This window comes from Homo sapiens, chromosome 17 (assembly GCF_000001405.40).
Source record: "Homo sapiens chromosome 17, GRCh38.p14 Primary Assembly".
Taxonomy (NCBI): Eukaryota; Metazoa; Chordata; class Mammalia; order Primates; family Hominidae; genus Homo; species Homo sapiens.
In genome coordinates, this window is record NC_000017.11 from 10,518,730 (window position 1) to 10,539,711 (window position 20,982).

A 20,982-nucleotide genomic window follows, 5' to 3' on the forward strand; every position below is an offset into this window, starting at 1 on the left:
ATGAATCAATCTCCTATAAATAATTTGAGTCGTTGGCAATCTTAAAGTTGTTGGCCTTTGGAATGTAAGGTGTTGTTTCAAAGACAGCTAAGTTCTGGAATCCCTGGACTTTGTTGCCTACTGCTCTTCTGTTTCACAGAGTCGCCTGTGTGAAGTCTTTTCAACTGCCTGCGCAGTTACAGATAGTGTACTCGGGAGGAAAACTTCTGCTCTTTAGCAGAGGGTTATAAAAACGTTGCTTTCTCTCAAAAAGATTTCCTTTTTTTTTTTTTTTTTTTTTTTGCAATTTATTGTGCTTTTTCAAAGTTGCTTGGAAATTTAATTTTGAAACTTGCTTCATGAAGAGCAGCCAAAGATAGCTTCTTTTGTTTCCTTCAATCAGTCGCCTCTTATTCATTGTCAAATCATTCCACCGGCACTTCGGACTTGCTCCGAAATTGCATTGCCTTCCAAACAGAGATGTCCTGCTTCTCTCATTTTTTTTTGGTGCCCAAGTTGCTTGTGAAATCTTGTTTCCTCTATGAAACTCAACATAAGAAAATATTGGAAACAGGGTATTTCTCTGTCTAAATATGCAGCATCGATGATTTTTCCTCTATCAGCAGTCCATGGGATATATTTAGTATTTTGCTTACAAACAATACCTGAATATTGTTTTCTATTTTAATTTTTTAAAAAAGTTTATTTTACTGTCTTTGTGGCCTCACGTCTCTGTCTGTCAGCATTGTCTGGCTAGGACTGGGACAACATTTGCTTAATATACCTGGTTTTGCACCCACATCTGTATTATTGTACTTATATCTCAATTGATTTAATGGCTATAGCTTGCCTTATGAAAGGAGATATCTGGATATACTAGTTGTAAAGGTCACATAGTTTTATTACCATAAGGGATCATCTAATTCATCTTTCTCATTTTACTAATAAAGCAACTGAGATCCAAAAAATAGAAGAGAATCTCCACAAATCACACAGCAGTTTAGACTCTGGTCATCTGACTTGCGGTCCAGCGTACTCACTTGTGACACTCTTCTACCTGGGGTAGATTAAAGCCATCAGGAAGGGTATTGCAGGGATGTGCGTCTGAGAGGGCCTTTCCTAGCCATCTATTAGCCTGCTTTGTTACCACAGGTACCTAATTTTACTTTCTTACATGTCTGTTTCTTTACTAGGCACCTGCAAAATGTGGGTAATGATTTTCAGGAAGATAAAACATTTTAATAATGCTCTCAATAGGATCTGATGGGAATCTTCAGACAACCTTTTGTCTTGCTCTGGATAAACTTTTCAATAAGTAGGAAGTAAGATATTGTTTTTGTTTATTACTGCCACGTTATAAAGCACTTAAGCAATTCCACGTGATACAGGAACAAAGTGAAAGAGGGGCTTATGCAGCGAGAAGAGCAATTCCACACCCTTTCTAAGGCCAGTGCGACAGTGTGAATCCAACTTACCTGTTAAACTACCATGTCTAATTTACATCATTTTCACACAGTGCCATTTAGACCAAGATACTCTTGCTTTCTATTTGATGGGAAGTTACCATTTAGCTCTTCCTTTATTCTGTCGAGGAAGGTTATATTTTTGGCTATGCATCTCAGCTGCATCCAGTTTAAAAATCTTGATCCTCTAGGAAAACGTCTCTGAGTGGTCCAGATTGCTATGATATCTACTTTTTGTACCAAACTCATACCCATCATTATGTGTGTTGAATATAGATTTGAATAACCTACTTTGAGATCATATTTTCTTGACACTTTTAGTCATTTATTTTGGCTCTTTATATGATTATCTGGGAGACCATAAAGATTGGAAACATAAGCTAATAGCTCATGGATACTACATTATAACGTAAAAATAATATTCTCTATGTCTCCAGATTTGATAGACACCCTGTAGTTTTCATAGGGAGAAGAGTCATATTTAATTTAATTTTGAAACTTGCTTCGTGAAGAACAAGGTCGTGTCAAACCCATTACCCAGTGCACCTACTGTGGGCATATGGTACATTGGAATTGATAATGTAAATATCCATGGGCTAATTAAGAATATTTTGTATTTATATTCTTGATAACAGTTATTCAACAAAGAGAATTAATGATACAATTCAGTTTGAATCCCCTATGTGAGAATATAGCTAGTACTATCCTGAAAAAGGTTCATGTTAGGGGAAGCAGGAGCTTTCTAAGATTTTACTGTACTCAGATATCAGGAAAGGTTAGAAAGAAATAAAATAGACTTCCAAATTTCTGTTCATTAGAACAGTCTTTCTGGATAAGTGACATCTTTACAGCCTTAAAGTGTTGCCGTAGACCCCCAAAAAAGTCACCAATTGAATGTGATTGTTTGACAACTCTGGTGACTATTCAAACTTTGACATGGCTTCAGGAAAGAGAAAAGACAAGACCAGTCTAAGGATATTGTTTGCAAACTACCCTATGCTTTATTTCCTTTGCAACAGGGTAGAATACACAATAATTACAGAGGGAAATGACCAAAGATGTCACATTTTGTGCCTGTCTTCAGTCATTCCATGGCATCAGGACATGATCACTCTTCACTTATGACTTTTGTGTGAACCTCCCGGCTCTTCACCCGCAGTTTGTTCACCTGGGACTCAGCAATGTCAGCCCGTTCCTCGGCCTCCTCCAGCTCATGCTGGAGCTTGCGGAATTTAGCTAGATTGGTGTTGGATTGTTCCTCCTGAGAATAAAAATGGAATTGTAAGGAACTCATACTTGCATCTTTCTAGACTCTTTAGACCTAATAGAAGAAAGGACTTGGCATCTATGGAGAAGCAACATCTAGGGATTATCATTGAAATTAATTTTAAGATTTGTTTATTGATGTCATATATATATATATATATATACACACACACATACATACATACGTATCTCACATTCCTATTTTGGCAACCAAAACACATAAAATATATGTACCACAAGTAGAATAAGAAGAAAAATATAAGCTTAGAGAGGAAGGCAAGAATATTAAAGTCATAGTTGTTAATGCTTGCTATAAGATGATGATTTTCCCTTGAGTTAGATTTTTTTTATCATATTAAGAATGAACTTATTAAGTTTTTAAAAATTGAAATAAATATTGGATTTTGTCATGTATCATTTTGGCACATTTCAAAATGGTTACTTTTTTCCTCCTGCATTGGATGTAATGATTCTATTGACAGATAACCTAATATTAGGTAATCTTTACATTGTAAGAATTAACCTTATTTAATCACTGGAAGACAATTCCTTTAATAAAGTAAGACTTACTACTTAGTAATTTATCTTTGCTGTAACTGTCTTTATGAGTAAAATTGCCTTTAGTTTTTCTCCCTCTGTCCTCTCTTGGGCAGGTTTTGGTATGAGGGTTATGTGAGCTTCTTAAAATGAACTGGACAGCTTTCTATCTTTTCCCATGCTCTTGAACAGCTACATAGCTGGGGGATTATCTGTTCCTTGAAATTTTGAAAGACCTATCTGGACTTGGGTCCATTTCCAGAAGTAATTCAGCCAACTTAGTAATTTATATCCTCCTAGAAAAATCATCAATTTTTTTCAGGGTTTCAACTTTATTGATAGATGTGTTTTATATTAAAAAATAATCCTCTATGTATATAGCTTATTCCCTTTCTCATTTCTAATGTTGTTTATATTTTCTCTCTTATTTTCCTTGATGAAACTAGTTATAATACATTTATTTTATTAATTCCCCAGAAGTTACAAATATTACTGAAGTTATCAAATAGAAAATAGTATACTCTAATTCACCAATTTCTACTTTTATTTTTAACAGTACTTCTTACTTCTACTGTTTTATTATTATTTATAATTTATTTATTGGACTGTCTGTTTGTTTATTTTTACTTTTGGTTCATAATGAAAGCATTTAAAGCAATGAATTAGCCTCCTAGCACAGCTTTGACTACATTCTGTAGGTTTGTAAAAGTAGCATCTTCCTTGTGATTTTACTTATAATTAATAATTATTTAGTAATTATGTTTTTATTTTTACTTTAAACCAAGAGTTATTTAAGAAAGTTAGTTTTTTTAATATTTAAGTACTCAAGAATTTTTGCTTATATTTTGTCATCACTTTACAACTCCGTCATACTGTGGCCGGAGAATATGGCCTGTATTATTTCTGCTTTTAATTTTTTTCAGGATTCTTGGTGGATTGAAAGTTTACTTTTAAAATGAAGCTACTGATATTACAAATGATACACAAGAATTATTGTACAAAAACAAATGTTAAATATGCATGCAGTAGTCTTTAAAGCAAACAGCTTGTTCACTACAAGAAGTAGTAATTATTTATTAGCTTAATTTGAGGACTTCAATCTTAAAAATACTTACAGCCTCCTCAGCTTGTCTCTTATAAGATTTCACTTTTGCCTGAAGTTTATCTACCAAATCTTGAAGCCTGAGAATATTCTTTCTATCTTCTTCCGTCTGAAAGATTATAAAAAGTCCAGGACCTTAATTACTAAAGCACATGACTATTGCATCATTGCATATGAGTATTTCACATAAACTTCGACCAGTGCTTAGCCGCTAAAAACTACTGGCTGTACCTGGTAAGTGAGTTCCTTCACTCGCCTCTCATGTTTGCGCAGACCTTTGACAGCCTCAGCATTACGCTTTTGCTCACTCTCAACCTCTCCTTCCAGCTCCCGTACCTGCAAATAAGTAGGCTCTTAAGAACTTTGATCCAATAAGGCACTGAAAGCAGATGGAAATAGACAGATATTGGGAGACCCACCCTGGCCTCCAGTTTCTGGATCTGCTTCTTCCCACCCTTCAGGGCCAGCTGCTCAGCCTCATCCAGACGGAGCTGCAGATCCTTCACGGTCTGCTCCATGTTCTTCTTCATCCGCTCCAGGTGGGCGCTGGTGTCCTGCTCCTTCTTCAGCTCCTCAGCCATCATGGCGGCCTAAATAGCAAATAAATCAAGAAAACCAAGAAAGTTATAGATGTCAGGAAATCTTACTGCTAAATCAGTGGACAAGTGTGCCTGCCACTCACATCAGTGATGGCCTTCTTGGCCTTTTCTTCTGCATTGCGGGCTTCCTGGAGAATGTCCTCCATCTCTCCTTGCATTTGGGAAATATCTGTCTCCAGCTTCTTCTTGGTGTTGATCAGGCTGGTGTTCTGTTTAAAAAGAATTTGTACATTTAAAAAATTGTGTTACCAAAGTATTTATTGGTAACCACTTCTTGAAAAAAATTCAGATAAAAATTTGCAAGTCAAAAAATGCCTTTTAATATTAAAGAATTAAAGGATTGTGTTATGTAATATGATTAAATAAAATATAAATGTTATAGAATATTCAGCATCTTCAAGTGTATAGGTCACAAGCAGACCAAGTAGCTCTATAATTTTATAATTATCATTTACCAATAGACCATTCACAGGGATAAAAGTATAATGGACTTTCTCATAACATTCCATTTCTCCAGAATGAAATGTGAATATTGATAATGAGGGCCAATAAAGATATTAACACAATAGAATACGGGGGCAGCCTTAGAATATTATATGAAGCAAATCAACAATAGTTTTTCAAAGCAAAACAGTGAAAGATTTCTCAGTAATGCAGAATTACTATTCTGTATTATTTGAAAAGAAAATTTGATAGACATATTAGGTCTAGCTGTCTTATGAAAACTCAGGCTTATCTATTCTGGGACATATAAAATTTACTAAGGAGAGTTCTTTGTGCTGAATCCCACCTGGGTGTGCAGTAGCTGAACACGCTCACTGGCATCCAGGAGCTCCTGTTCTGCGATTTTTCTGCTCCTCTCTGTCTGTTCCAGAGTGGCCCGCAGCTCCTCGATCTCAGCCTGCAGCAGGTTGGCTCTGCGCTCCACCATGGCCAGCTGTTCCTTCAGGTCCTCCTGGCTCCGGAGAGCATCATCCAGGTGGATCTGGGTATCCTGTGAAACAAACCATCATTGAGACATCATGTTCTCAGGGTTGCAGGCACCCCAATAGTCCTGGGACCATCTCTTGGACATATTTACCTTGAGGATGCCTTGGGTGTTCCTGTAGTTCCTCAGGGCCTCAGCAGCCATGCGGTTGGCATGGTTCAGCTGGATTTCCATTTCATTGAGGTCTCCCTCCATCTTCTTCTTGAGCCTAATGGCATCATTCCTACTCCTGATCTCAGCATCCAGCGTGCTCTGCATGGACTCCACGATTCTAATGTGGTTTCTCTTCAGCTGGTCAATTTCCTCATCTTTTTCAGCAATTTTCCTATCAACCTCAGACTTGACTTGGTTCAACTCAAGCTGGATGCGCAGGATCTTTCCCTCTTCATGTTCAAGAGATGCCTTAATGACAGCAAGAGGTGACATTAGCAAGGAACCAAAAGCTTTATGAAGTTTTTCTGCACAGCAATAATTTTGTGCTATGTGTCTTTTTATTCACTCTATGCAGATGTACCTAATTATTTTCCAGATTTTTTTATAATGCACAATTTTACATGTACCTCTGCTTCTTCTAAAGCAGCCTGAAGTTCACACTTTTCTTGTTCCACTTGTTTCTTTATTTTCTCCAGTTCATGGATACGTTTCCCTCCTTCTGCAATCTGTTCCGTGAGGTCAGAAATCTCCTCTGTTGTTTGAGTAAAAGACAGGTAGGGATTTGGTTAAACATGTGACATAAGGGAGAGATTCTTCCAAGTTATGAATATTATTGAATATGATAGGGACTTACGCTGTAAGTTTTTGTTCTCTCGCTTCAGGGTTTCTAGCTGATCCAAAGATTCCTCATAGGCATTCTTTATCTTGAACAGCTCAGTGCCAAGGGAACGGGCCTCCTTCTGGGAGGCCTCAAGCTCAGCATGCGTTTCCTCACATTTCTGTTTCCATTCTGCCAGGATCTGAAAAACCAAGACCTGTTACCTGCTGCAAAGACAAAAGAGTAGAGTAAAGAGCAGAAGATGCTGGAGGAATTACCTTATCGAAGTTCCTTTGCTTTTTGTCAAGGGCGGCACAGGCGGCATTTGTCCTCTCCACATCAAGCATGAGGTCCTCGACCTCATTCTGCAGCCGCTGCTTCGTCTTTTCGAGGGAAGCACATTTGGCGTTCACAGCTTCTACATGTTCCTCAGCTGCCTGCAGCCGCTGGGCCAGCTTCTTCCTTGAATATTATACATGTTTTCAGAGAGAAGTGAACCATAATATGAATTATGAGCTATTGCCACACACGCTGAAGAGTGTTAGAAACTTCACATTAATGCTGCCCAGCCACCTTTCATTCTTTCAACAAATATTGATGAGCCCCTTTTATGAACCAGACACTGGCTACGCAGCAGTGACCAAGACAAAAAAGATCTCTGCTTCATGAAGACCACAAACAAGTGAGAGAGGTAAACAATAAGCAAATCAGAACATCCGTAATAATACCTTACAGATACAAGTGCAATGAAGCAAAATAAAATAAATGGTGGGCAACTACTCTAGATATTCAGTGAAGGCCTCCATGAAGAGATATTTGAGTCAAGAGCTAAAAGTCAGAGAGCCAAAGGGAAGTCTGTGGAGAGGGTATTTCAGACAGAGAGAAAAGCAGGTACAAGCCCCTGATGCAGCGATGAGCTCATTGTGCTTGACAAACAGCAATGAGGCCCCTAATTATCAGTGTAATTATTTGCTCTTCTTTGTTTTCTTAACTAGATTTTAGGATCGTAAGGCAGGGACCATATTTGATTTATTCATGTCTTATTCTCAGGGCCTGATTGTGACTGGCACATAAAAGCAGATTAATGAGCATTTGTGGACTAATTCACTGAATCTTCAAAGGTCATGTCTTTCTGATTCAATATGCAAAGTTTTCTGCTCATTCTCTCATATCTGTGCACATACTTGGCCTCCTCCAGCTCCTCTGTGCGCTGGATGGCGTCCGTCTCGTATTTGGTCCTCCATTGGGCAACCTCGGTGTTGGCCTTGGACAGTGCTCTCTGCAGCTCGGCCTTGGATTCCTGCTCCTCCTCATACTGTTCCCGCAGCAGGTCACAGTCGTGGCGGGAAGACTGCAGGGCATGCGCCAGGGCGTTCTTGGCCTATGGAGGCAGTTACACCTTCATTTTACTGGATATTTAAATATTTAACTCTTAACTTTCAAAACCTTTTGAAAGCTGGTATAACAGGCTCCATGTAGAATCAGCTCATGAGGGAAAAAATCAGTCTTAGAATCATAATTACTTTTATCTCCTCTTCAAGTTGCCTCTTTAATTCTTCAATCTGTTGAGTAAAGGCTTGTTTGCCTCTTGATAACTGAGACACCAGAGCTTCCTTTTCATCAAGCTGGCGTGAAAACTCACCTGATGGACAAAAGAAATGGCACCATTTTTTAGGTGAAAAACAAGATTCTGCAAGCCCATGTTAGAAAGAAATTTTGACTCTTATTTTCCCAAATTGAGTGCTCAGATGGTTGAATTCTATACTGACATCTTCATGCTCAATGCAGGTTTTCAGTTTTTATGGTGAAACTTTCAGATCAATCGGAATGAATAAATACAGCTTAAATTCCTTTTGTCCTTTCCATAACTAATTCTTTCAGAATTATATGATATTGTGCAAAATCTGGTGAGGACTGTCAAATGAGTAAGCTAAAATGTCTAATTCTACAGGGTCCCCATTCCATAGGACTTTTGAGAGACTGGGATATTCATTGCCCCATTCTGGAAGTTACTTGACCCTCATATAAATAAAGAGAAACTTGGCCTGAAAGAGAAGCCCTGAACTCATGCTGGAGTAACCGCTAATCCCAGCATCCTCGCAATGAGCAAATACTCAAGGCCATTCTGGAACAGAGCTTGATTTTGTCCTATTGAAACCTTTATCTCCAGCATTGTCCCAAGATGACCTTGCACATAGGTCAGGTGTCTGAGCTGTTCAGTGAATCAGACATGTTCTCAGCTGTTTTATTAGGCTCCCACTTCACCAAATCAGTCCGTTGTTCTTAATCACATCCTCTCCACCCTGAAGCTGCACAGAAGAGGGGAGAGTTACCAGATTCAGTCTGCAGGCGCCCCCTCTGCGCAGTCAGGTCATTGATCAGCCGCTGCTGCTCCTCTTCCTTTGATTTCAGTTCACTCAGTTGGTCCTCTAGAGTCCGGCACATTTTCTCTAGGTTTCCCTATAGAAGAAAAAGTAAAAGAAGAAAACAGAGACCTTTTAAGCGAATAATAATCACCTTTGCAGTTACTGTAACTTCTCCCCAAAATAAAAAATACAATATTTATCTTAATATAGAAAAGAAACCAAATTATCTTATATGTAATGTAATGCAGAAAAATTTTTCTTTCTTTCTTTTTTTTTTTTTTTGAGACAGAGTCTTGCTCTGTCCCCAGGCTGGAGTGCAGTGGCGTGATCTCGACTCACTGCAACCTCCGCCTCCCGGGTTCAAGCGATTCTCCTGCCTCAGCCTCCTGAATAGCTGGGACTGCAGGCGCGCGCCACCACACTTGGTTGACTTTTCTTATATTTTATGAAAGCTAATCATGGAGCTCTGTTCAATATTAATATGAAAATGTTAAGGTTATATTCTAATTTTAAGATTTTGTTAGAATTGTATAGTGTACATTTTCTAAAAGCATGTTCTAAAATACTTCATTGCCTTTATGTACGATGAAACTTTCCTTATTTCAATTTCCTTGAAATAATTGGAGACCTTTGTTCTATAACTGGAGACTTGGAGAACACAGATGGCTTATGTTCAAAAGCTGGTGTTGTCGTTTATTAATGGCGTGATGGGTCAAAGTGCTTGGCCTCTTTGAATTTCTGATCCTTTATTTGTTAAGTTGAAATAATAAAAAATGCTGATTTTTTGTGCTTACTTCCCTGAATTACTGCAGTTAACAAATGACTTAATGTGTAAAAAGTGCCCTGTGCAAACTATGATGTGTCCATAATGCATTATTTTCAATAACAATTTCCCAGAATTTGTAGTACCTTGGCTTTGGAGACCGTTTCTACATTACTAGCAAGGTCATCAATCTCCATCTTCATCTCACTCTTCTCCTTCTCCAGCTTCTGCTTCACTCGCTGCAGGTTGTCAATCTGCTCCCCAAGCTCGGCCACACTATCTGCATGCTTCTTCCTCAGGGTGGCCGCTGTGGCTTCATGCTGTAGGGTGGCCTCCTCCAGGTCCCTGCGCATTTTCTGGAACTCAGCCTCCCGCTTCTTGTTCATCTCAATCTGGGCTGAAGTGGCCCCACCGGCTTCTTCCAGCCTCTCGCTGATCTCCTCCAGCTCCCGGGAGAGGTCAGAGCGCTGCTTCTCTGCTTTGGCCCGGGAGGCCCGCTCTGCCTCGATTTCCTCCTCCAGCTCCTCAATGCGGGCCTGGGAATGGTGGAAAATACAAACTCAGCTTCTTTGTGTCATAACTGCCTCCGAGCCAGACTGATGAAAATCATGTACTTACTTGCAATTCTTTAATTTTCTTCTGCAATTGAATGCCAAGTGCCTGTTCATCTTCAATCTTGCTTTGCAGATTGCTGATTTCAAACTCTTTCCTTTTAGAAAAGTAGCAAAGGACAACAATTTAGTCCGTATCTAATGTTGGAAGCAAATCCATAAGCAATTCTTTCTTACTTACTTTTTGAGCTTTTCATCAAGTTGCTGTTTCTCATTTTCAATGTCCATTATGGATTCTTGGGCCAACTTCAAGTCACCCTCAAGTTTCCTCTTAGCCCTTTCTAGGTCCATGCGAAGTTTCTTTTCTTGCTCCAAGGACCCTTCAAGCTAAATATAAATTATGTTGAATCAGAAGGAATGCTTATCTTCCTTTAGAAGAAAAGAATGTCCTTGATGATACCAGACTTACATCATCCACTTGTTGTTCAAGTTTGATTTTAGCTTTGGTCAGGGTGTTGACTTTGTCCTCCTCTGCCTGCAGGTCATCCAGGGTCTGCTGGTGGGCCTCCTGGAGAGCCTTCTTCTCCTTGGTCAGCTTAGCAATGGTTTCATCCAGACCTGCCATCTCTTCTGTGAGGTTTTTCACCTACAAAGGTGAAGAAAGCAGTTTAGTTGCTATAAAGCACCTTTGTTGGGTGGCAGAACCTCTATACAGTACTGTAGAATATGATTGATACCTTGTTTTCTGTGGCATGTTTCTCCTTCTCAACCTTGGCCAGTGTCAGCTCAAGGTCATCAATGTCTTTCTTGAGTTCTGAACATTCATCCTCCAGTTTCCTCTTCTTGGCTGTCAGCTCAGCATTGATCTCTTCCTCATCCTCAGCTCTCTCAGTCACCTCTTTGATTTTGGCTTCTAGCTGGATTTTGGTTTTGATTAGCTGGTCACACCTTTCCTCTGCATCAGCCAAGCCTTCGGCTTCCTTAAGTTGGAAACAAGATCAAAATTGGGAAGAAAGAATGAAATACTTCACAATGGATAAGAGTGTATGTTTCTGCATTTGATCTTTTGAATTTCCTATATTCATTTGTTTACTCCTTCACAAATTTTTGTTTCATGAACCACCCTACTGTGTACATTTTCCACATGTGGGTAAGCCAAAATGTACCAGTTGTCATTTTGTTCCCCTAAAAGAATGTATTCTACAGTAGATTAGAAAACCTATTTCCCAAAAGCTACCATTAATGTAGAAAGCAATTAGTGACATAACAGATCAGAGAAGTTGGATCAGAGATGGTTTCATGAAAGAATTGCTGTTTGATTTGGGCCTTGAGAGAGGGGTAGGATTTGCTTTTGCAGAAATCAACTTATTGTGGAGAGGAGCAGGAGGGTTGTGGGGAAGCATTCTAGCAGGACAAATTCAAGATACAGCTGCTACTGATTTTTTTTTTTTGTAGTACTGGAGGATGCTCCTGATTATGATGTACTAAATTCAAGTTGAAACATAAAGTAATCAAGAAATTCCTGGCAACCTGCTGTTTCCAATTAAGGGGGACAGGGCAGGCGGGAAATGAAGGAGACACTGGAATATATACTCATCAGTAATCCTCCATATCAGTCTTTGACTACATTAAGGAATGCAGGGTGCTATGTATAACTGTGTAACGAATACAGTGGTTTAGTACAGATTCTGCATAAATCTCTGGGGACAACAGAAGAGAATACAGGGTAGATTTGGAGGGCTTTTTCCTTCTGTAATCTAGAAGGAGTTATTATACTGCTCAACGTTGACAGAGAGACCAGTCTTAACAGAAAAAAATATGACTTTATGATAAGTAGACCAATTCAATTCACTCCAAATAAAACATAGTCTTATAAATTATAGTCTGAAGTTGATGGAAGCAGTTCTAAAATGATTGGTTCAGGAGAGGGCAGTGAGCAGGCTGGATGGAAGAAGAGACAATTGGGAAGTAGGCTGAGCAACTTTGGTGCTGATGCAGCAATGTGGGTGTGACATGATGGGACACTGACTGTGGAGACAGATTAGAAAGAGGGAGTCTGAGTTTTTGAGATCAATATCACACGATAATTCAGTAAAATTTGATGAGAGTGCTGTCATATGTCAGCTGTTCCTATTATAATTTAAGACCCGTGGACATCTAGAAGTTCAAGGAAGTTTCCGAAAAATATTACTCTCTCCATGCTATCCTCCCCTTCATATTTTATTTGGGATTGTGTCATATTAAAATCATTTTTATGGACTGTATTTAAAGAGAAAATAAGTCAAAAATCTTGTGGTTTGATGAAATTGTGTACAATGGAAAATGAGGGATATTTCTACCTCACTGCCCTGGTGCTGGTTTGTTGGGGGTTATTGGGCAATGGAGGAATGTTTGGACCTTTTCGTGCCATTGGAGTGTTTTAACCTTTTCCTTCCAATGAGTGTCTCCCTTGCAATTACCCAACTCATGGCCCACAATGGCCAAAGTTCTAGCACCTGCATCCTGGTTAGTGATACCAAGGGTGATATTCCAACTCACAGCCTGAACTTGGAGCTGCAAGTCATTTTTTTCTTTCAACAGCGTCACCATCTTTTCTTCCAGTTCCTTCCTTTTTGCCTCTGACTTGGCAAGTTCGTCTTTAATTTTCTGAAATTCTTCCTTCATGGTGGCCATCTCCTTCTCAGTTTCTGCACTCTTCAACAGAGGCTTGATCTTGAAGAAGAGTTTCATCCAGGGCCAGTGCTTGACATTCATGAAGGATCTGATATTGTACTGGATACAGAAGATGGCCTCCCTGAAATTTAATTGATGCAAATTAGTATTGTGTGGTTGATGCAATGGGATGAAACCTTGGCAGTGAGAGTTGGAGGTTCTGCTTCACCTTGTTCCTACTCTGCTTTCAAACATGCAGATGAAAAAATTCTATTTCGGGATGATGGTCAAGGTCTTGCTAAGGTCACTCATTTCTCTACATCACTGCTTCTCAAACTTTGGCATGCATAAGAATCACCTGAAGGGCTTGTTAAAATACTGACTCCTGAACCTCACCTCCGTAGATTCAGATTCAGATTCAGAAGATCTAGGGTGGAGCCTGAAAATTGGCACTTTTAACAAGTTTGCAAGAAATGCTGATGTTGCAAGTCCAAGGAGCACCCTTTGAGAAGCCTTGCTGTATGTCAGTGCTTCTCAAACATTGCTACTAAAACACCACTAAGGGCAGTGAAGGGGGAACACAGCTCTTTAGGGGTATATGGGGCAGGAGATATTAAAAACTCAGAATTTCTTAGAAAATATCTGGCTTTATATGTTAATGTTGTGTGAATTTTGTATTCTATTCTCTAATACCACTTTTGTTTTCATCTAAATGATTTTTACAGCTAATTACCCCATATATAGACAATTACCCAAATATATATATATCGTGGATCATGACCAAAATTTATTATTTTTAATAAAATGGAATATAGTTGAAAATATTAGCATAATTACAAGTGGTAAAAATAAAATTTGCTTCATATAAATTATTTATATATCTGCATACACATATGTATATGTGTAGATGTATAGGTGGCAATGTAAAATGCCTTTCTCAACATGGAGAAATGGTCCTGATCACAGACATCCTGTACTTTGAGACACCTGGCTCTATAGTCTTTGAACTCTGTCCTTGCATCAAATTAGATCACCAAATAGCTACATTCCCTGATGCATTGTGTTAACTTACTGCAAAAAGTCTTTCACAGATAAATGGCCCCTAATATTTTAAATCATGAGAGTTTGATAATATAAATGATCAGAGGGAAAAAGTTGTCTCTACAGCCTGTGTAAAAGCACTCTTGAGTATACTGTCTGTTTTGCAGGTCAATGTCCCTTATCTAATGATCTGTCCAATAAATTCATATTAGAAACAGGTGCTAGGGCAAAAGTTTGCTTCTGCTTACTCACTGGTGTATTTTATCTTATTAGATAAGAAGTACACACTTCTTACCTAACTTCTCAAGTTTTTACCCATGCAATCAGATGGTGATGGTTCCTTCCTTAAGTTTTCTGGTACATGTGTATTCCCACTTCATTATAGGACTCTTATTCATTTCTTCTTTAGTGTCCTTATCATAAGCTGAGTCTTAACTGTAAGCCATTTCAAATATGTTTTTGAAGATGGAATATGTGAATAAACATATTTTTTATACCTTCTCTCCACCATCCTCTGGTACTCCACTCTTGCCAAGAACCCTCTGCACCTGGCCTGGGTTCGGGTAATCAGCTGGGCCAGCTTGTCATCTCGCATCTCCTCTAGGAGCCCCAGAAGACCAGCTTTGAAAAAGACCTGTGAATGGAAAGAGTTGCAAATCACAAGCTTTAATAAAGTTCAAAGGGACAGGAATAGCATCAGGTAGGATTTACAGAAAATTACCTTGGTGTGCCCAAATTTATACTGGGTGTGGTCAATGTCGATGGATGCAAGGAGCTTCTCAGAGGCCTTCTTGCTATCAATGAATTGCCCTTCAGGGATTGCACTTGCATTTAATACCTTGTATCTGTTGAAGTACATATAGCTTTTAACAACTAGTTTACTGATGACACAAATGCTAGCTAAACATTAAATGATTCATTTTTTAAAGCAGAGCTTTAAAAAAATATTATTCTTTGTTCACAAGGAGAACATTGTTTATTTGAATGGTCAACCCTTTGGCAACCAATTTTTATTCCATTTGCCTTTCCCTCGCAGTTGCAACTTTCCTTTCTGTCTCATCAGACCCTGTTCTTAGAAAAGGGTTCTGCCTTAAGAAAGGGACACATTATGGTGTGCCTAACCAATAAAATGTAATCTGTTATCTTTACTAGATGCATTTGCTTTTTAAGGCCCTGAATCCAAGAAAGCTACTTTTCATTGAAGAATTTGGTAGACAGTACACTTTAGGTATTCAGAACTATCCTAATCACCTAAAATCAAACTTAGACATGCTTTGGATCTTGAGCCCTGGAATCCTCTGTCAGTGCCACCTGACCCAGACCTGGGAGAGATCAGCTCCTAGCAGCTGCTACCCAGTCCTTCCCCACCTCTGCCTTTTCTTTGATTCTCAAGATGGGCTTATCTAGAGAGGAGAAAAGGGACCTGAGGAACAGTCATTGTGACATGTTCCCTCTGCCTCCAGGAAACCCTGGGAGTCTAATATGTGGGAGAAAAAGACGAACATAGATGATACCAAAGGAAATGACAGAAAATGAATAGCTATGTTTGTATGGAAGAGTTTCTAACTCAACCACTTAATAACTGTGACTTTGGGCAAGTACCTTAATTTCCCTGAGCCTCAGCTTATTCATCTATAAAGTGAAGTCTTAATAGTACCTACTTGCACTGTGTTTTTGCGAGGATTAAACAAGATAATCTGAACATATTAAGCACTCAAAAAGGTCGTTCTTAATTATTATTGGAGTTAACGTGTGCATCTATGAGCTAAGCTAAGTGCCTGATAAATCCAATGAAAATTCCACAAGGTGCTTAAAATTTTGTATATTTATATTTTAAAAGTATTTGAGGCTGGGCATGGTGGCTCATGCCTGTAATCCCAAAACTTTTGGAGGCCAAGGCTGGCGGATGACCTGAGGTCAGGAGTTTGAGACTAGCCTGGCCAGCATGGTGAAACCCCATCTGTACTAAAAATGCAAAAATTAGCTGGGCGTGGTGGCATATGCCTGTAGTCCCAGCTACTTGGGAGGCTGAGGCAGGAGAATCGCTTGAACCCAGGAGGCAGAGGTTGCAGTGAACTGAGATCACGCCATTGCACTCCAGCCTGGGTGACAGAGCAAGACTTTGTCTCAAAACAAAAGTGTTCGAGACTTGAGACTTGTAATTTTTTTACTTCTTTTTGTGACAAAACTAACAAGTAGAGGCATATGTTTCACTAAATTGTTTTGCTTGCATTAAACTTGTTCATATTAAACTTCAGAATACACCATAATCAGGAGAAACTGACCTCTGTTTGAAGTCTGCATAAAGGATTCTGCTTGGAAATCCTTTCCTACAGATGCGGATGCCTTCCAGCACACCGTTACACCTCAGCTGGTGGAGGACAAGCTCATGCTCCATGGCACCTAAAAATGCATATTTATTTCACTGCAGAGCTGTTGAAAAGGAGGTGTGGCAGTCATCCTTTGCACTTTCATTATGGAATTTCTTACCAGGAGTTTTTGTCTCATTGGGGATGATACACCTCACAAAGTGAGGATGGGTACTCCTGAGGTTGGTCATCAGCTTGTTCAAATTCTCCTGTAAAACCAGGAAAAATCCTGTCATTTTAGGCTCTAGACATGGATATGAGCAGTCATTGGTGTCTATAAAATCAATATCTATAGCTGAGTTGAATGACCAGTATGGACTGCATTCATATAAGGCAACACTTTGAATGCTTCTTCTGAGATGCTTTTTCCTCCTCAATAGATCTTTCTGCACTTGAGTTTCCGAGAGTTACACACAGAACAAGGAAAGCATCCTGGCATGTGCTTCTTTTCAGTTTATGCCAACACCATCCTTTCTACCCTGGTCCCTGGCCATACACATACATTTACAAGGCCATTGCCTTCCCATGCGAGATGATCGCTCTTTCTTCTACCAAATTCCATAGTTCTCCAATAAGGAAATGGAAGCCTGCACCACATTTGGACGTTTTCCTTATAATACAGCTCCTCTTTTCCAGCTCTATCAATTTTTAGGGGATAGAGATTATCTACAGGGGAGCAATCCTACCAATTATAATTGAAAATTGACTCGATTAAGAGCAAGGATACCATATTAGCTGCACTGCAGATTTGCTGCTAGAATTCATGAGTTCATTAGCCATACTGATGTCTTTTAGTCTCTCTGAGTTCATGTCATTGCTCTTTTTCATGGCTCAGCTAGATTATGAATGGCAGAGTATTATGGTCTATAAGATTTTCTATAAAATATTTCTCATTATTTGACTTAGCATGAAAAGTGAACTAATAATTTCTGAGTAATTTAAATCCCTTCTTTCCAAAGTTAGATCAACAGAGTCACTAGTTACTATCAGTCCTTTTCTAAACTACTCATGGAATGATCTTGTACTTTTAAAAGCAAATTTTATGCATTGGGTACAGTGTACACTGCTCTGGTGATGGGTGCACCAAAATCTCAGAAATCACCACTAAAGAACTTATGCATGTAACCCAACACCACCTGTTCCCCAAAACCTATTGAAATAAAAAATAAATTTAAAAAAAGAAAAGACGAGGGGAATTTTGCCCAGCGAGATGTCAAAGCATATTACAAAGTAATTTTAATAAATGTAATGTGATATTAGTATATGAATAGATAAATATATCCTTAGAACAAAAATAGAAGTTCAGAAAAACAGACCCATGTAAAAAAAATCCCAAAGTAATTGGAGAATGTCAAAAACAATTTCTTCCTTACTCTGAAAAGGGCAGACACTGTCTGGAAAGAAGAGCCCTTCTTCTTACCACCTTTCTTGGCCCCTCCACCAGCTCCCTCTGAAGAAAAAGGAAGAAAAGAAATACTGTTTTGAATTGGCAGGGCTACTTCTTGCGTATTTGCTGATTTCTGTGTTCATCGAGTGGAGCCTTTTTTCTACCCAGCTGGCCTCTCTGATTGAGCCTGAATGAATCTTATTTTTCAACTAAGTTTGCAGCCACTTATCTGTGATTCTTTCTCCAGTGGGAAATGAGGCCAGGGATATTCACCTGACCGTATAGAGAGGGATTCCCTAATATTAGGACATGTGAGGAGCTAACTTCAAAAATCATCAATAGAAGCTAGTACTGAGAGGTGGAAGTTTGTCACTCTGTTGCCTAAGATTTATACCCTCAGATACTCTATATATCCTGCAGATGTGGAGGAAGAAGTAGGAGAGAATCGTAGAAGCTGAGGCTTTTCATTGGTTGAGAGCCTGATAATCCTCTCTGACTCTGCAATAGGGCTCCTGTCAGCAGTGGAGTGAGCCACAAATGTATAATTACAAGGCTGCCTATCTATTCAATACTTGGAGGAACCAGGGGCTTGGTCTGCAACCCTTCTGCCAGACCTAAGAGATCACTAGCTTCAATTTAACATCACATTTTGTAATACCTAGAGAGTATTATTAACATTTGAGCATTACCTCCTTCAGCAGTTTGAGCCCCAGAGAAGAGCTGAGCTAGAGTTTTCATTGCAGACTTCTGGTACAGTCCAACCACGGTCTCATTCAGGGGGTCCTTGTTCTTCTCCAGCCAGCCAGTAATGTTGTAGTCCACAACACCAGCATAGTGAATCAGAGCGAAGTGGGCCTCGGCCTTGCCTTTGACCACCTTGGGCTTCTGGAAGTTGGCAGACTTGCCCAGGTGCTGGTCATACAGCTTGTTCTTGAAGGAGGTGTCTGTTGCCTTAGGGAACATGCACTCCTCTTCCAGGATGGAGAAGATGCCCATAGGCTAAAAAGCAGACCACAACACAAAATTGTACTTCTATTTTTTTTTCTGTCTATAGAATTAAAATAAAAAGCAGCGAATAATATAGTTGCCGCAAAATATGGTTTCAGAAATGCAAAACCAACCTTCTCGATGAGCTCGATGCAGGCAGCCAGGTCCATCCCGAAGTCGATGAACGTCCACTCGATGCCTTCCTTCTTGTACTCCTCCTGCTCCAGCACGAACATGTGGTGGTTGAAAAACTGTTGCAGTTTCTCATTGGTGAAGTTGATGCACAGCTGCTCCAGGCTGTTGAACTAAATAAATAGATATGTTTACTTCTCTCTTAAGCAAATTGAGTATTTTTTAAAATACAGAACTTTTCCATTTTAAAAATATGTGTCCAAGAGCCTTTATATTACAGATATTAAAATCACTGGGTTAAAGAGACTTTGAAATAAAAGGTGAAAAGTATGGAAGGTTTGAGGGCATGTGGAAGCTACTATTTTTCTGCTGTCATTTTGTAGAAAATCCTACCATTATGATATTCTTTTCCTGCATTTGCTTAAGTTTATTCAGGTATTTTCCTGAGTACCTACTTAATCATCCTGTGTTTATTCCCATTATCTTCTACATTTTCCAGAAGGTTTACAGTTTTCTGTTGACTCATTTAGGAGCCAACTTGCAACCCATGAGAAGCTGGCTGGGAGGAGTCTATCTTGCTTGGCAATCACATGGTCAGCATGGCAAGTGAACAATAATTTGCCACCCCTGTTATTCTTTAATGTGAAATGAAAAAAAAAAAAGATCAAGATACCAAGTATTATATAAAGTATGACAATATACATTTGTATTTTTAAAAATTCCCCAAACAGCACTTTGGGAGGCTGAGGTGGGCGGATCACGAGGTCAGAAGATCGAGACCATTCTGGCTAACATGGTGAAACCTCGTCTCTACTAAAAAAAATACAAAAACATTAGCCGGGTGTGGTGGCAGGTGCCTGTAGTCCCAGCTATTCGGGAGGCTGAGGCAGGAGAATGGCGTGAACCCAGGAGGCGGAGCTTGCAGTGAGCCGAGATCACGCCATTGCACTCCAGCCTGGGCAACAGAGTGAGACTCCATCTCAAAAAAAAAAAAAAAATCACCAAAATATTAACATTATATATAAATAGTAGAATTATGTGGAATCTTTTTCCTTGGGACCTTCTATATCCTCTGCAATGCCCTAAGTTTTGCTTGTATAATTAGAAAAAAAAATTAAACTTCTTGAAAACTATAATCAAGAAAAATATATTTCGTAATCAAATATGAATTTTTATTTCATGATATCACACTAATGAGTCTTAAAAGCTAATTGCATTTGTTACTGCTGACTCTAAATTATTAACGTTTCTCAGCTCTTATTGTCTCTAAGTATTTCTTAAAATAGACCTTCAATCCCACTGTACTAAGCTAATTCAGAACTCCCTTTGTATCAATAACAAGTTGGGGAGTCCTTATTAAGTGCATTGTTGTTTTTTATAGAAGTGGAATTGGTACTACAATAACTGACCAGTTACTCTCTTTTAAGGCTTAAAATAATTTCTACAGTGGTAAGAAAAGGTCATAGTCTTCACTAATTCCTTCATATAGATATTTCCATTGCCTTACTGTAAAATCCTCTCACCAATCAGCTACAAACTCACATCAAAAATCTCAAAACCAGCAATGTCCAAGACCCCGATGAAGTACTGCCTGGGCTGCTTGGTGTCCAGCTGCTGGTTGATGCGGGCAACCATCCACAGGAACATCTTCTCGTAGACGGCTTTGGCCAGAGCACCTACTGCGTTGGACACCTTAAAAGACAAAATTATAACTCTCGAAGTTATTAAAGGCCTATGAAAATGCTTTCATCCCTGGCAGTTAATTTGAATTATGCACCTACCTGTTCTACAGTCTGGCCTTTGGTGACATACTCATTGCCGACCTTGACCCTGGGGTAGCAGAGAGCTTTGAGCAGATCTGCAGAGTTCAGACTCTGGAGGTAGGCCGCCTTGTCAGCAACTAAAAAGAAGAAAGAGTAGAACAATGTTATTGTGGCCCAAAGAAACCCACTTCCTTAAAAATATTTTTTAAACTACAAGTATTTTGTGCAGTGTTTTAAATATCTCTTTCTGAGTATCCTTACCCATTTGTTCATTAAGTTCAAGTTT

The 20,982-nt window shown here is 39.1% G+C and overlaps 1 protein-coding gene and 1 long non-coding RNA gene across 3 annotated transcripts in view, besides 1 other annotated feature; one reads left to right on the forward strand and one right to left on the reverse strand.

The window, feature by feature from the left end:
- The window catches only part of MYHAS (myosin heavy chain gene cluster antisense RNA), a 242,409-nt gene that overhangs the window by 135,598 nt on the left and 85,829 nt on the right, over positions 1-20,982 (forward strand). The window lies entirely within an intron of this gene.
- The window catches only part of MYH2 (myosin heavy chain 2), a 28,511-nt gene continuing 9,947 nt past the window's right edge, over positions 2,419-20,982 (reverse strand). For both annotated transcript variants that reach the window (NM_017534.6, NM_001100112.2), the window contains exons 13-40: positions 20,715-20,833; positions 20,476-20,625; positions 18,936-19,106; positions 18,504-18,813; positions 17,801-17,877; positions 16,549-16,636; positions 16,344-16,461; positions 14,780-14,903; positions 14,556-14,692; positions 12,904-13,159; positions 11,103-11,345; positions 10,835-11,011; positions 10,607-10,752; positions 10,433-10,523; positions 9,961-10,350; positions 9,019-9,145; positions 8,209-8,327; positions 7,870-8,066; positions 6,964-7,147; positions 6,722-6,887; positions 6,495-6,619; positions 6,028-6,336; positions 5,737-5,940; positions 5,030-5,155; positions 4,767-4,937; positions 4,579-4,683; positions 4,361-4,456; positions 2,419-2,703 (exon numbers count right to left, since the gene is read on the reverse strand). In NM_017534.6, the coding sequence (NP_060004.3) occupies positions 2,551-2,703; positions 4,361-4,456; positions 4,579-4,683; positions 4,767-4,937; positions 5,030-5,155; positions 5,737-5,940; positions 6,028-6,336; positions 6,495-6,619; positions 6,722-6,887; positions 6,964-7,147; positions 7,870-8,066; positions 8,209-8,327; positions 9,019-9,145; positions 9,961-10,350; positions 10,433-10,523; positions 10,607-10,752; positions 10,835-11,011; positions 11,103-11,345; positions 12,904-13,159; positions 14,556-14,692; positions 14,780-14,903; positions 16,344-16,461; positions 16,549-16,636; positions 17,801-17,877; positions 18,504-18,813; positions 18,936-19,106; positions 20,476-20,625; positions 20,715-20,833 (4,679 nt within the window). In that variant the 3' untranslated portion in view covers positions 2,419-2,550. The remainder of the gene's footprint in view (positions 2,704-4,360; positions 4,457-4,578; positions 4,684-4,766; positions 4,938-5,029; positions 5,156-5,736; positions 5,941-6,027; positions 6,337-6,494; positions 6,620-6,721; positions 6,888-6,963; positions 7,148-7,869; positions 8,067-8,208; positions 8,328-9,018; positions 9,146-9,960; positions 10,351-10,432; positions 10,524-10,606; positions 10,753-10,834; positions 11,012-11,102; positions 11,346-12,903; positions 13,160-14,555; positions 14,693-14,779; positions 14,904-16,343; positions 16,462-16,548; positions 16,637-17,800; positions 17,878-18,503; positions 18,814-18,935; positions 19,107-20,475; positions 20,626-20,714; positions 20,834-20,982) is intronic.
- Positions 5,783-6,982: an enhancer, noted in NCBI's record as "BRD4-independent group 4 enhancer chr17:10427829-10429028 (GRCh37/hg19 assembly coordinates)". NCBI's record gives its function as "activates an origin of replication core promoter dependent on BRD2, P300/CBP, MED14 and CDK7 cofactors, and independent of BRD4, by STARR-seq in HCT116 cells {active_cell/tissue: HCT116}" and the evidence as "EXISTENCE:reporter gene assay evidence [ECO:0000049][PMID:35650434]".